This window comes from Homo sapiens, chromosome 6 (genome assembly GCF_000001405.40).
Source record: "Homo sapiens chromosome 6, GRCh38.p14 Primary Assembly".
NCBI classification, from domain to species: domain Eukaryota; kingdom Metazoa; phylum Chordata; class Mammalia; order Primates; family Hominidae; genus Homo; species Homo sapiens.
Window position 1 is genome coordinate 99,955,250 of NC_000006.12, and position 14,599 is coordinate 99,969,848.

The window sequence follows — 14,599 nt, forward strand, 5'->3', positions numbered from 1 at the left end:
TGTCAAGTCCCTAGAAAACAAATAATCAGTTCTTATTCTCCAAGTAAAGTTCTTATTCTGTCTCTCTACTTGAGAGGAGGAAATTACCTGAATTAGGTGGGAGATGTGGTGCCCATGCAGGAGGTACTCGGGGGCAGATGTCTCTCAGTTTGGTTTATATAGGCTGGTCTACACCAAAGGGAACAGCCCACTACCTATGACTTCCTGCATCTTCTGGTGATAACATAAAGTCTCTCTTTTGCCCAAGTGAGTAAAAGAATCTCTTTCACCTGCCTAAACAGGTCAGCTTTTTAGGATAATTCTTATTGCTGGAAAATGAAATGTTGCATTGCAGTTTTAAATCTTACCCGGGCCCTACCCTTAGAGATTCTGAGTTAATGGGTCTGGGGTGAAACTGCATATCAGGAGTTTTTAAAGCTCCCCAGATGATTCTAATATGCAGCTAAGACTGAGAGTGAGAGTCATTTCCCTAAAAACTCACTGACCCAGCAGTAAGCATTGGCCTAGGTCTTAGCATGTTGAGATTTGCAACTGAGATGTTACCTAATGCATGACGAAAATATCTGTAGAATCTTCATTAATTATCTTAAGCAAATATTTCCAAAATTGCATTTCATTAAGCAAAATGCTACAGGGGAAAGGACTCATTTAGGGAGCTTTGACTGTAGTTTCCTAAAGTATGGAAGGAAAAAAAAAAAAAAGGAGCCATTCCTTACCTTATTATAGTGAATACAATGAGGATGTTGCCAACCAGCCCTGTTGAACAGATAATCCCAATCATGGAAGGGAGGATGACTGTATCTACCACACTGGCAGTTTGATAAGCAAACTCTTTATTCCAGGATTTGTTTAAAAGTTCGGCAGAGGTGTTCCAACAAGATGCATGAAATGGATTCATTGTTCGTGGACTTTCCAGGGATTAAAGCTGTGAAGTAATAGGAAGTGATTTATTTAGTGAACATTCCCTCAATATAACTTCCTTTACCTAATTCAAATAATATTTTTTGGAACCTCTTTTTTAAAACCAAGATTCCATGGAACACAGGATCCCAGGGTGAGTATGATTGGTCCCTGTTCATAGTAATCTCACAGATTACCACAAGAGATAGGTAAACAGCAAGTTACAGAACAACTTGAGAAGCATCATGATAATCTTTGTATCTTACCACATCTTACTGTACTATATGCTTTGAGCATAGGTGATATTTAGCTAGTATATACTGGTCCTGGTTGTTTACAGATCACGTCTATTCTTATTGGCCTGCAGATCTGTTCATATTGGCTAGTATTCTTGTAACACTTATGTTGTTAAATATATCCTCTCTGTCTGCTATAAAATGCATGGGGTCTACTGAACTCGGATTGTTTAGAAATGGAATGGGTAAGACCTCCTGATGTGATTATTGGACTATGTTGAAGCATGAGGGAGAGTTAGCTCAGCAAATTAGAGTTGTGGGAAGGGAAAAGCGTTGTAGCCAGCGGAGGCACCATGTGCAAAGAAGTATTCAAGGCCAAATGCTCACTGCCAAAAAATAAACAAGTAAATAAAGCAAAATAGAACTAGAAAATTATTTGCTTGATCAAACTTTTGATAAAAGACATTTTAAAAATATCATCTAAGTCTGGTATTTGGAAATGATAAATTGGATTACTCAGATTAATCTTCCCACTGAAAATAAAATATGCTGGACAAAATGTGTGTGTGTGTGTGTGTGTATTTATATTTATGTGTGTCTGCGTGTGTGTATACAGCAACTTAAAAATACTCAAGGTCTGAAAAATCAGTGGGCATTCCCTGGCTAGGTTTTGAATGAGATCTTGAAAAGTAAGTGGAATACTGAAGCACCAATGCTATCTTGATTTAGAAGGCACTTATGGATGACATAACATTTGAAGTCTGGTTCCATGTCTGGATGAAGTCCAGAGAAAAATCAGGGTCCAGGGCCTACTGAGGCTGGGGAATCTTACAGGAGATACCCTCTTCTGAGCTGGAGCCTCAGGGGCTTCATAATTAAGTGTATTTTATCTAGTCAGATTAAGAAAGTTCCCTCTATTCCCAGTTCAGCAAGCATTTTTTATCATCAGTAGATTTTTAGTTTAATATTAAAGATGCTTTTTCCATCAATTGAGAGAGAGATGTGATTTTAAAAAAATGTTCTTCATTTTCATTTGGTTCCTTTTCATGTCTGTCATGTTACTTTGATAATTGAATCTCCCCTGAAGAGAATTTTAATCATGAAATGCTGAACATTTCCCTTTCAAAACATGAAAGAATGTCCACTATCACCACTTTTCTTCAATATTGGACTTTTCTAGTACAATGGGGGAAGAAAAAAATAGGATGTATGAGACTTGGAGAGTAAGAAAGTCTCAGAGTTGTTATTACGTAACTCTAAGAGAATTTAGTAAGTTTGCTGGATATAAAAACAAGCAAAAATTTAATTATATTTCCATATATTTTCTACAAACCATTAGAAAAAGAAAGTTTAAAAGAGTTAACATTTGTTAAAAATATATATACCTAATGCTAAACTCAGCAAAAATTTGTAAGAACTCTACTGGAAAAATTATAACATTTAACTGATGTTAAAGAAAATTTGTAAATGGAGAAAAATACCAAGTTAATGAATTTGAAGACTCATTAATCTATAGATGTCAATTTTCCCCAGACTGACTTATAGATTCAATGCAATTCCAATAAAATTCCAAGTTTTATTCTGTGAAAGATGATAACATACTACTTCTGAAATTTAAACATAAAAGGCTAAGAATACTAAATAAACTCTTGAAAAAAGAGAATCAGATAGAAGGACTTAATTTATTTGATACTAAGACAAATTATAAAGATACAGTAATCTACACAGTGTGATATTTGAATAGGGATAGACAAATAGGTCAAGGAAACATTAAAGAGAGCCCCCAAACAGACCCATACATATATATTACACTTGATATATGAAAAGATGTCACTTTAGAGAAGTGAGGAAAGAATGGACTCTTCCATAAATGGTGCTGGGACAATTGCCTGTCTAAATGGAAAAACCAATCTCACCTATATAAATATATATTATACATACACATATACATGAATTCATATATGCTTACATACATTTATATGCACATTGATTTGAAATCTATACGTACATAAAAATAAACTCCATGTGACTTAAAAACAAATGTAAAAGGCTTTTAGAAGTGAATATAGAGTATCTTTAGGTCCTTGGAGTAAAAAATTCCATAAACAAGACACAGATGTTTAATAAAAACCAGAAAAATTTGATTACAATGAAAAAAAAAATCTGTTCATTAAAAGACACCATCAAGATGGTAAAACAGGAAATCTCAGACCCTCTTTCTCCCATGGCACCACTGATTCAACAGCCATACATGGAACAATTCCCTTTGTGAGAAATCCAGAAACCAGTTAAGAAACTTGCATCCAAGGCAAATGGGAAGCCAGCTACATCAAAGCCAATAGAAGAACCTGTGGCACCCTCTTGCCATAGTCTCTCTGGCACAGTGCCATATGATCGGGGGAAACTTCCAGCTTCTGGCTTCTCCCTGGGGAGAGAGAGAAAACTGGAGCACATGTCCATTGTTCTAACTTTCAAGGGGCTTCCTTGGGGACAGGTTTTTGTCTCATCTATCTCAGTGTACTGCCAGGGAATGGCATATTCTGGATACCTGGGGGCTCCTTAGAACAAAAGAGCTGGGCAGTGTGCTGCTGCTCCAGAGGACCTGTGGTATAGCTGACAGAGGTCAATGCTGCTTGGCAGTATCTTCCTTAGGAGGAGTGAAGATTGGAGCATATATGCAGTGTTCTGGCTTTTGGGGGGTTTCCAGAGGGACTGGTTTCTCTATAGCTCAAACTGGGGCACTGATGAGACCTCATGTACTCTGGATGCCTGGAAGGCCACTGGGAACAAAAAGAGTCAGATGGCATGCTGCTATTTTGGAGAACCTGTGGTACAAAAGATAGATACCAATGGAAAAAGAAATTATGCGTTTCAGGAAAAAAGAAATTGGTAAATCTCTCTAAGTAGGAACCTAGACACACATGTCCAGAGGAGTCATGTCCACAGAAAATGTTTGAGATGTCCCCTGAATCTGTAGCTATGCTGCTTGGTGAAGATGTTTCCCTGTCTGGAGCCAGTCTACAAAGACTGGGAGAGGTAGCTATATTGTTAAAATGTGTAGATACCAATGCAAAGTTACAAGGAAAACAAAGAAGCAGAGAAAAATTGCCCAATCAAATGAGCCAAGTAAATTTTCAGAAATTGATACTAAAGAAACAGTTAGATACTAATTACCTGACAAATAATTCAAAATAACCACCATAAAGGTGATTGATAAACTCATTAAAACAATACAGGAACAAAATGAGAGTTTCAGCAAAGGGATAGAAAATATAAAAAAGAACCAAACAGATTTTGGAGCTGAGAAATGCAACAATTGAAATGAAAAATTCACTATAAAGTTTCAACAGCAGACTTGATCAAGCAAGAGAGAGAATCAGAAAATTTGAAGACAACTCATTTGAAATATAAACTAGGCAGAGGAGTAAAAAGAAACAATAATAATAATGATAATAATAATAATAATAATAGGTAAAAAAAGCCTTAAAGACTATTGGACACCACTGAAAGGATCCATATACATGTTATGGGCATCTCAGAAAAAGAAGAGAAAGAAAGGGACAGAAAGCTTATTTAAAGAAATAATGGCTGAAATCTTCCTAAATCTGGGAAGGGAAATGAACATCCAGATTCAAGAAGACCAGCCTACCTCAAATAGGCTACATCAAAAGAAGTCCACAAAGACAACAGAAAATTTTGAAAGCAGCAAGAGAAAAATGATTCAAGGGACTTCCAATACATCTGTTAGTGGATTTCTTAGCAGAAACCTTGCAAGCCAGGAGAGAGTGGGATGATATAGTCAATGTGCTGAAAGAAAAAAACTGTCAACCAAGAATACTATGTCCAGCAAAAATATTCTTTGAAAATTAAAGAGAGATAAAGACTTTATCAGATAACAAAAGCTCTTCAAGGAGAACTACAAACCACTGCTCAACGAAATAAAAGAGGACACAAACAAATGGAAGAACATTCCATGCTCATTGATAGGAAGAATCAATATGGTGAAAATGGCCATACTGCCCAAGGTAATTTATAGATTCAATGCCATCCCCATCAAGCTACCAATGACTTTCTTCACAGAATTGGAAAAAACTACTTCAAAGTTCATATGGAACCAAAAAAGAGCCCCCATAGCCAAGACAATCCTAGGCAAAAGGAACAAAGCCAGAGGCATCATGCTACCTGACTTCAAACTATACTACAAGGCTACAGTAACCAAAACAGCATGGTACTGGTACCAAAACAGATCTAGACAAATGGAACGGAACAGAGGCCTCAGAAATAATGCCACACATCTACAACCATCTGATCTATGACAAATCTGACAAAAACAAGCAAGGGGGAAAGGATTTCCCATTTAATAAATGGTGTTGGGAAAACTGGCTAGCCATATGCAGAAAACTGAAACTGGACCCCTTCGTTACACCTTATACAAAAATTAACTCAAGATGGATTAAAGACAGAAACATAAGACCTAAAACCATAAAAACCCTAGAAGAAAACCTAGGCGATACCATTCAGGACATAGACATGGGCAAAGACTTCATGACTAAAATGCCAAAAGCAATGGCAACAAAAGCCAAGATTGACAAATGGGATTTAATTAAACTAAAGAGCTTCTGCACAGCAAAAGAAACTGTCATGAGAGTGAACAGGTAACCTATAGAATGGAAGAAAAATTTTGCAATCTACCCATCTGCCAAAAGGCTAATATCCAGAATCCACTTAAACAAATTTACAAGAAAAAAACAACAACCCCATCAAAAAGTGGGCAAAGGATATGAACAGACACTTCTCAAAAGAAGAAAAAAAAAGCGTTTTAGGAACACTTTTTTTTTTAGAATGTTTTAGGAATGCTCTTACACTGTTGGTGGGAGTGTAAATTGGTTCAACCATTGTGGAAGACAGTGTGGCGATTCCTTAAGGATCTAGAACTAGAAATACCATTTGACCCAGCGATCCCATTACTGGTTATACACCCAAAGGATTATAAATCATTCTACTATAAAGACACATGCACATGTATGTTTACTGAGGCACTGTTCACGGTAGCAAAGACTTGGAACCAACCCAAATGTCCATCAAGGATAGACTGGATTAAGAAATGTGGCACATATACACCATGGAATACTATGCAGTTATAAAAAAGGATAAGTTCATGTCCTTTGCGGGGACATGGATGAAGCTGGAAACCATTATTCTCAGCAAACTATCACAAGGATAGAAAACCAAACACTGCATGTTCTCACTGATAGGTGAGAGTTGAACAACGAGAACACATAGACACAGGGTGGGGGACATCACACACCAGGGCCTGTTGCGGGATGGGAGGCTGGGAGAGGGATAGCATTAGGATAAATACCTAATGTAAATGTCAAGTTGATGGGTGCAGCAAACCAACATGGCACATGTATACCTATGTAACAAACCTGCACATTGTGCACATGTACCCTAGGACTTAATGTATAATAATAATAAAAAAGAATATGAAAATCATGTCAAGTATCTTTTCCAACCACAATGGAATGAAATCTATGACAGCCAAACTAGCACGAATTTATTTTTTCCTTCTTCACAATTTCACAGATAGATTTTTTCTCATGGTATATCACATCAAACTCAGCATATGATTTTTAAAATTTCTTTATTAAGTAAAAATCTTTTTACCTTTTCACTTAAAGCACTTTATAGCTTTGCTTTGGCATATCCAAATTGCCAGCATTACTAGTCTTGTGCTTTGGGTCTGTTATTAAGTAAAATAAGGGTTACTTGAACACAAGCACTGCTACACTGTGACAGTCAGTCTGATAACTGAGACAGCTACTAAGTGACTAGCAGGCAGGTAGCATATGCAGCGAGGATATGGTAGATAAATGGACTAATCATGTCTTCAGAGAAATGAAGTTAGATAGCATGAGATTTCACCATGTTCCAGTAATGGTGCACAATTTAAAACTTATGAATTGTTTATTTTGGAAATTTCTATTTACTAGTTTCTAACTGTGGTTGTCCACAGGTAACTAAAATCTTGAAAAGTGAAACCACAGATAAGGAAGGACTAGCGTATGGTCAACTGATCTTCAACAAGGGTGCCAAAGTATACAATTGAGGAGAGGATAGACTTTTCAACAAATGATGTCGAAAAATCTGGATATCTATATGCAAAGGAATGAAATTGGACCCTTATCTTGCACTACACACAAAAATTAACTCAAAATAGGTTAAAGACTTAAATGTATGACCAGAAATGTAAAACTCCTCGAAGAAAACATAGGGGAAATCTTCATGATATTGGTTTTGACAATGATTTCTTGGATATGATATCAAAAACACAGGTAACAAAAGCAAAAATAGACAATGAGTCTACACTGAACTAAAAAGCTTCTGAACAGCAAAGGAAACAACAGAGTCTAAATACATCCTACAGACTGGGAGAAAAATTTGCAAACCACAATTCTGATAAATGGTTAATACCCAAATTATAGAAGGAACTCCTATAACTTAATATTGATAGCAAATAAGCAAATAACTCGATTTAAAAAATGGGCAAGTAACCTGAACAGACATTTATCCAAAGACAACATAGAAATGGCCAACAGATATATGAAAAGATGCTCAATGTCACTAATCAGGGAAATGCAAATCAAAACCACAGTGAGATATCACCTCATCCCTGTTAGTATGGCCATTACTAGCAAACAATAAAAACATACAAATGACAATTAAAAAAAAGTGGCAAAACAAAAAACCCAGAAAACAAGTATTGAGGATGTGGAAAAGTTGGAACTCTTGTGTACTTTTGGTAGGAATGTAAAATAGTGTAGCCACTATGGAAAACAGTGTGGAGGTTCCTCAAGCCAACAGGTAGAAACCATCTTAATGAACACTGATAGATGAATGTGTAAAAAAAGTTTACACATACAATGGAATATTATTCTGCCATAAAATTAAGGGAATTCTGTCATATGCCACAATATGAATGAAACTTGAGGGCATGATACTAAGTGAAATAAGTCAGTCACAGAAGGAAAGATACTATATGATTTCATTTGCATGAAGTACCTAAATTAATCAAACTTATTGAAGCCAAAAGTAGAATGGTGATTGCCAGGGGCTGGAGGATGAGGAAACGGAGAATTGTTGAATGAATATAAAGTTTCAGTCATGCAAGGTGAAAACAGTTTAGGTATTTGCTGTAAAATGTTGTGTTTATAGTTCATAATACTGTACTGTTCATTTATCAATTTGTTTGGGGGTGGATATCATGTTATATGTTTTCTTTTTAATCATAATAAGAAATGCATGTAGAAGACAAAAATGAATGTTTGAGAAATGATGCAGAGTTTACTGGTTCATGTTCTAGGTATAATATTCCATTCAATGTCCTATTGGTAAACTATGTTTGCAAAAAATAAAAAATAACATGGGAATTAAAAATAATGACACAAGAAAGCCGAAAGTCAAGTCTCAGAGTGAAGATATTTCTAAGACATATAAACAACAAAAGGCTCTTGTTCAAAATATATAAACTATCTATACAAACCTATAAAAAAAGATAGAGAAGCCTACAGAAAAATGGCAAGTGACTTCAATAGGCATTTACAAAACAGGCATCCAGCTGGTGAATAAACATATTTAAAAGGCATTTAATTTCACTGAAGATAAGGAAAAGGCTAATTAAAAGCACAATTGGATACCTTTGCTTAACTATCAGATTGGTGAAAAGTTTCATGTCTAACAGTTCTAAGTGTTGGAGCCACAGAAACTCCCACCACTGGTGGCAGCATAAATGGATATATCACTCTGGAAAACAAGGAGGCATTATTAAAGTTGAATAGATACATATTGCTGTATGACCCTGAATCTTCCCCTTAGGTAGGATATACCTAAAGATACACATGTTTATATGTACCAGGATATGTGCTCCAGAATGTTCACAGAAATATTCATTTAAAATGCCTTAAACTGAATGTATTAGTCTGTTATCACAATGCTATGAAGAAATGCCCAGGACTGGGTAATTTATAAAGGAAAGAGGTTTAGTTGACTCACAATTCTGCATTGCTGGGGAAGCCTCAGGAAACTTACAATCATGGCAGAAGGCAAAGGAGAAGCAGGCACCTTCTTCACAGGGTGGCAGGATGGAGTGAGCACAAGCAGGAGAAATGCCACATGCTAATAAAACCATCAGACCTCATGAGACTCACTCAGTGTCATGAGAACAGCATGGGGGAAACTGCCCCCATGATCCAATTACTTCCACCCTTGTTCTGGCCCTTGACACATGGGGATTATGGAGATTACAATTCAAGATGAGATTTTGGGTGGGATACAGCCAAACCATATAACTGAAATTAACCAAATGTCCATTTACAATGGAATGGATAAATAGATTGTGATATATTCACACAATGAAATACTATATAGCACTGGATGGGAACAGACTCTAGGTACACACGATAACATGGATGGATCTAAAATCATAAGGAAGGGCAAAAAGCAGAAATTCATATGTATGATTCCATTTTTATAGAATTAAAAAACAAGGCAAAACGAATCTATATTACTAGGGCTACATATAATGATGGTAAAAATATAAAGAAAAGCAAAGAAGTGATAACTGCAAATGTCAGATTGTTGGCCACCTCTGAAGAGAGTAAGTTGTGACTCGTTAAGTGATTCAGAAGGACCCTGATGAGCCAACAATGTTCTGGCTTTCTTGTCCTTGGTAGCCAGTGTTTTACGTATGGTTCTGCAGGTTATAATAACAGTAAAAGTATTGTTAAAAAACCAGTCTAACATCTGACCATATGGTTTCAAGGCAATAATCTAACTCTCTGTTCTCTTCTTTATTAATGCTTATCTTAGTCTTAATTTTCTGCCACTGTTCTCTTTTACTTTCCAATTTATTTCAAATTTTAAAAATCAGCTAATATGATGTTAACTTTGATTGTGGTTCTGTTATATGAAAATTTAATGCCAAAGTGTTTACAAAAATGTAGCAAAAGAGCTATTTTCAGGCAACACAGATAAATATGACTGACTGGCTGAACCCATTGAGGAAATTCGTATAGAGAAACATATTCAGTTAGTTACCTCATGTTGTTTTAAAAATCACTGATGTGGCTCTTTTAAAAAGTCAAAATGATTAATTTATTTTAATTTTCATTTCATTGTTTAGACAATGAAATACTAGTGTTTAAGAGAGATTTAGGATACACGAAAATCTAGTGTTTTGTAATTACAAAATGTAAAATAACCAGAGAAAGTTAACTTTTATGACACTTGTTTTTTAAGCACTTCTATAAGTTTAAAAAAGAAAATATGGATCATATATGCAAATGAATAGGTTTGGGAGGCATATGCATTTTTTAAAATGATGATTTCAGTTTAAGCCATAAGCAAACTTTTTCCAATGAATTATGTATAGCAATTTTTATGATCTCACAAATCATTTATGAATTTCAATATCTCTTCTCCAAATATAATCTACAGGAAGATAGCTCGCCACATGTGTTTCCAAGACTAATGGCTTCACATCATAAGATTTGGGAGTATAATCAATTTGGCTACGTATTAATTTCTTTTAATGCTTAATCAAAAAGAATTGCAGTCAGAAGGCTTACTTGTTATTGACAACTCCCAGGCTAATGAAATCTCAGCCCAAAGCTTTGTAGCCCCACTCTTCCACCTCTCTATACAACTTGCTTTATTTATTTTCCAGCTCTCAAGTCCTTTGAGGAAGATGGGAGCTTCAAAGAGTAGAAAAGAAAGAAATATGTTAAATAATACTGTGTGTGGAAAGGACTTTGAAAGTAAACTGTAACCTTTTTATCCTTAAATACCTGAAAAAGTAAGAGCTCTTTTATCTTAGCTGTCACTGTTTTTCTTCAGTGTCAATTAAAACTTCATGTTTACTATCTCCTGTAAATGTTGGAATTTGAAGTAAAGGCAAATTGGTGTATCAATGGAAATTCATCATAAATATAATTTTGTGAATCCTTGTCATATTTGTAAGAAATTTGTTGCTTTATTGACTTAATATAATTTCAAATTGGGAAACTCACCAAATCAAATAATAAATCCATGTCAAGAAAAATAATCTACTTGTCTTTCTTCTTGTTTTGTGAACTGTGGCAGGTAGCAGCCTGCCTTCCCTCCAGGTGTATGGCTGCTAAACTTGAAGAGTGAATGCCCAACAATATTTGGTACTTCACCGGTTCAGCAAGTACCATATTCTTATCTTTGTGTTTTTAATAGACTGTTTCATTAGTTAAATATACAGAAACAAAATATTAATTCACTGATGGTTGTTAAATATTAGCTGTTGAAAAAGTTTAAGCATTAGTATTTAAATTATGTTCATAATTTTAATTATTGTTAATATTTAATCAAAGGGTTATTTTAAAGAATCTTTTGTATAAAGAATCTCTCAATTCTTCAGTATGATTTCATTATATCTAGGGGCCATTTTCATCCAGGAAAACTCCCCCTAATTTTATAATGAAAGCCAATGCTAAATAAGATTAACTGCATAAAAACTCCTTTGCAAAAGCCCCCTTGCACTGTCTCTCCATCTGTGCTCATGTGGTACCTTTGGGTTGAACCCATCCATCCTGAATATTAAAGAAAAAAGTACTTTTTTTTGATACTTTTCAAAGTATAAACTTTTTTCTCATTCCTTAAATTGCAAGTTTTGACACTTACTTGAAATATGACCCCAGAAAACAGGTCTTAAACAGTTAAGTCTTTTGGTAGCAAGATTGTTTTTCTTAAAAAAAAAAACAGAAATTTATGCTTGTGAGGTTGGTGTTGAAAGAAGACTGACAGTGTCAGTTTAATGTATTCTGATTCACATCATTCATCTATGTATACTGACATCTTCATACATACACAATTTATTCATGATGACTAGGACAAGCAAAAGGAGAAATGCATTTAAAGAACATTAGGCTTTTTAAAGCAAAAAGACAGTGTTAAGAAGTCTGAAAAGTGATAATAAAAAATGTATGGCAAAGAGGAACATGATGCAGAGATTAAATCAAAAGACCTAACAGATGATGAGCTTACTTACATGGCAGTGATAATTTCATAGTTTTGATTATTTTTTAACATAAACCCTAAAATAATTATCTTCAACTTATTTTAGTAAATAGTCATGATGATGAGATTAAGTGAAATGGTAAGCCAGCTTTTGGCTGCTGGTTTTGTTACTATTTTCAAGTTAAATATCAGGGAAAAAAATCATCTGGGGAAAAAACCTACTGCTAATGGAAAACCACTGAAGACAGTTCAATAGCCACAATGTGCAAAATAGCACAATTACATTTACCTGTCAACAATCCCCCCTCCATACACACCTATGGATCCAAGTTTTATACATTTGCTCTCCAAGTTATGTCCCAACTAACTGGAGGATCTCATTTTTCACCTAATCCACCCATCTCCTTACATTCTATTCAACCTCTATTTGTGAAATCTCTATTTCAGTGATCTCCAGGCATACTCTATCTTATGTCATTCACTCACTTAACACACATTATAGTGTCTATAGCAAAGAATTTGGTTTAGTAATCTCTCTTAGTCTCAGGTTCCCCATTGGTAAAACAGTAATAATAATAGTACCTATCTCATACTGAGGTTGTGATGATTAATGTGATAATCCAAAAAAAGTATTGAGAATAATGTATTCTAGTAAGTATTCAATTAATATCAGTTATTACAATAATCATCATGATCATCATTATGCACTAGATTTAGTTTACTGGGGGTATGGAACCCTGGGATGGAGAGGAGGTGGTAAGAACTGTAGGAATGAGTTGTGAACCAAGACAGGGCTGAGGTTAAGGCTCTCAGTTGTTAGTCCTTAATCTACAGGGAATGGGTTTTGAAACATAGCACCAGCTTTTAGTTCAAAACACTTCAGACAGTGAAGAGAACCAGAGGAAAGTGGATCACTCCCATGATCCCATCTTTATATATTGATATTGTTTAGACAACAGCTAGAATGACTGGATTTAGATATGGGGAAACTAGGCTTGGTCTCCTCTCATAGCTACACAGCAAGCTAGGGGTCATTCTACCTCTCACATCTCAGTTGCCCACATATCTCTAAGTGACATGGAGAAGCTAGACAGAAAAGACTAATGGAGTTTTTCCTAATGAGGAATACACCATGAGTTGGTGATCATGATGTAAAATTACAGTCATATTGGCTGGGATTTTTTTTTTTACTATCAACCAAAAGGATTTAATCAACATTTATAAAATACTCTACCCAACAACAGCAGACTTAACATTCCTTTCAAGTGTTTCTGGAACAAATGTCAAGATAGACCATATCCTTGTTATAAAACAAAGCTCAATAAATTTCAAAGAATTGAAATCATATAGTGTTTTTTTTTTACCATAACAAAATCAAACTAGAAATCAATAACAGCAAAATGTTCTCCAAACATTTGTAAACTAAACAACACACTTCCTCATAATCTATGGGCCAGATAAGTCTGAAGGGAAATTTAAAAATATATTGAACTGAATCAAAATGAAAATATAGCATATAAAATTTTATGACACAGCTAAAGCAGGGCTATAAGGGAAATTTATAGCATAGGTTAAACTTAAGTGCATTTATTATAAATGATGAAAAGTCTCAAATCAATAATCTAAGACAATAAATGTAATTTACCCTTATATCTCTTTACTGTCTCCTTTTTATAATTGTCTTAAATGTTTCCTCTAAATACATTTAGAATCACATCAGATAATGTAATTTTTCAGCCATCTAACGTAATTTAGAAAACTCGAGGGCCAGGCGTGGTGGCTCATGCCTGTAATCCCAGCACTTTGGGAGGCTGAGGCGGGAGGATCACGATGTTAGGAGTTCAAGACCAGCCTGGCCAACATGGTGAAACCCTCTCTCTACTAAAAATACAAAAATTAGTCGGACATGGTGGCAGGTGTCTGTAATCCCAGCTAGTCAGGAGGCTGAGGCAGCAGAATTGCTTGAACTCAGGAGGTGGAGGTTGCAGTGAGCCAAGATCATGCCATTGCACTCCAGCTGGGTGAGAAGAGCAAGACTCCATCTCAAAAAAAAAAAAAAAAAAAGAAAAGAAAACTCAAGAGAAGGAAGCCTGTTGTATTTAGGCATATTTTTGAGTAAAGCATTTTTTCTTTTTTTTCTTATTTTAATATTATTATACTTTAAGTTTTAGGGTTCATGTGCACAATGTGCAGGTCTGTTACATATGTATACATGTGCCATGTTGGTGTGCTGCACCCATTAACTCGTCATTTAGCATTAGGTATATCTCCTATCCCTCCCCCCTCCCCCCACCCCACAACAGTCCCCAGAGTGTGATATTCCCCTTCCTGTGTCCATGTGTTCTCATTGTTCAATTCCCACCTATGAGTGAGAACATGTGGTGTTTGGTTTTTGTCCTTGTGATAGTTCGCTGAGAATG

At 35.3% G+C, this 14,599-nt stretch overlaps 1 protein-coding gene across 3 annotated transcripts in view; it reads right to left on the minus strand.

Annotated features, from left to right (window-relative positions):
- MCHR2 (melanin concentrating hormone receptor 2) overlaps positions 1-14,599 on the minus strand; it is a 75,705-nt gene that overhangs the window by 36,731 nt on the left and 24,375 nt on the right. For all 3 annotated transcript variants that reach the window (NM_032503.3, NM_001040179.2, XM_024446571.2), the window contains exon 2: positions 717-925. In NM_032503.3, the coding sequence (NP_115892.2) occupies positions 717-898 (182 nt within the window). In that variant the 5' untranslated portion in view covers positions 899-925. The remainder of the gene's footprint in view (positions 1-716; positions 926-14,599) is intronic.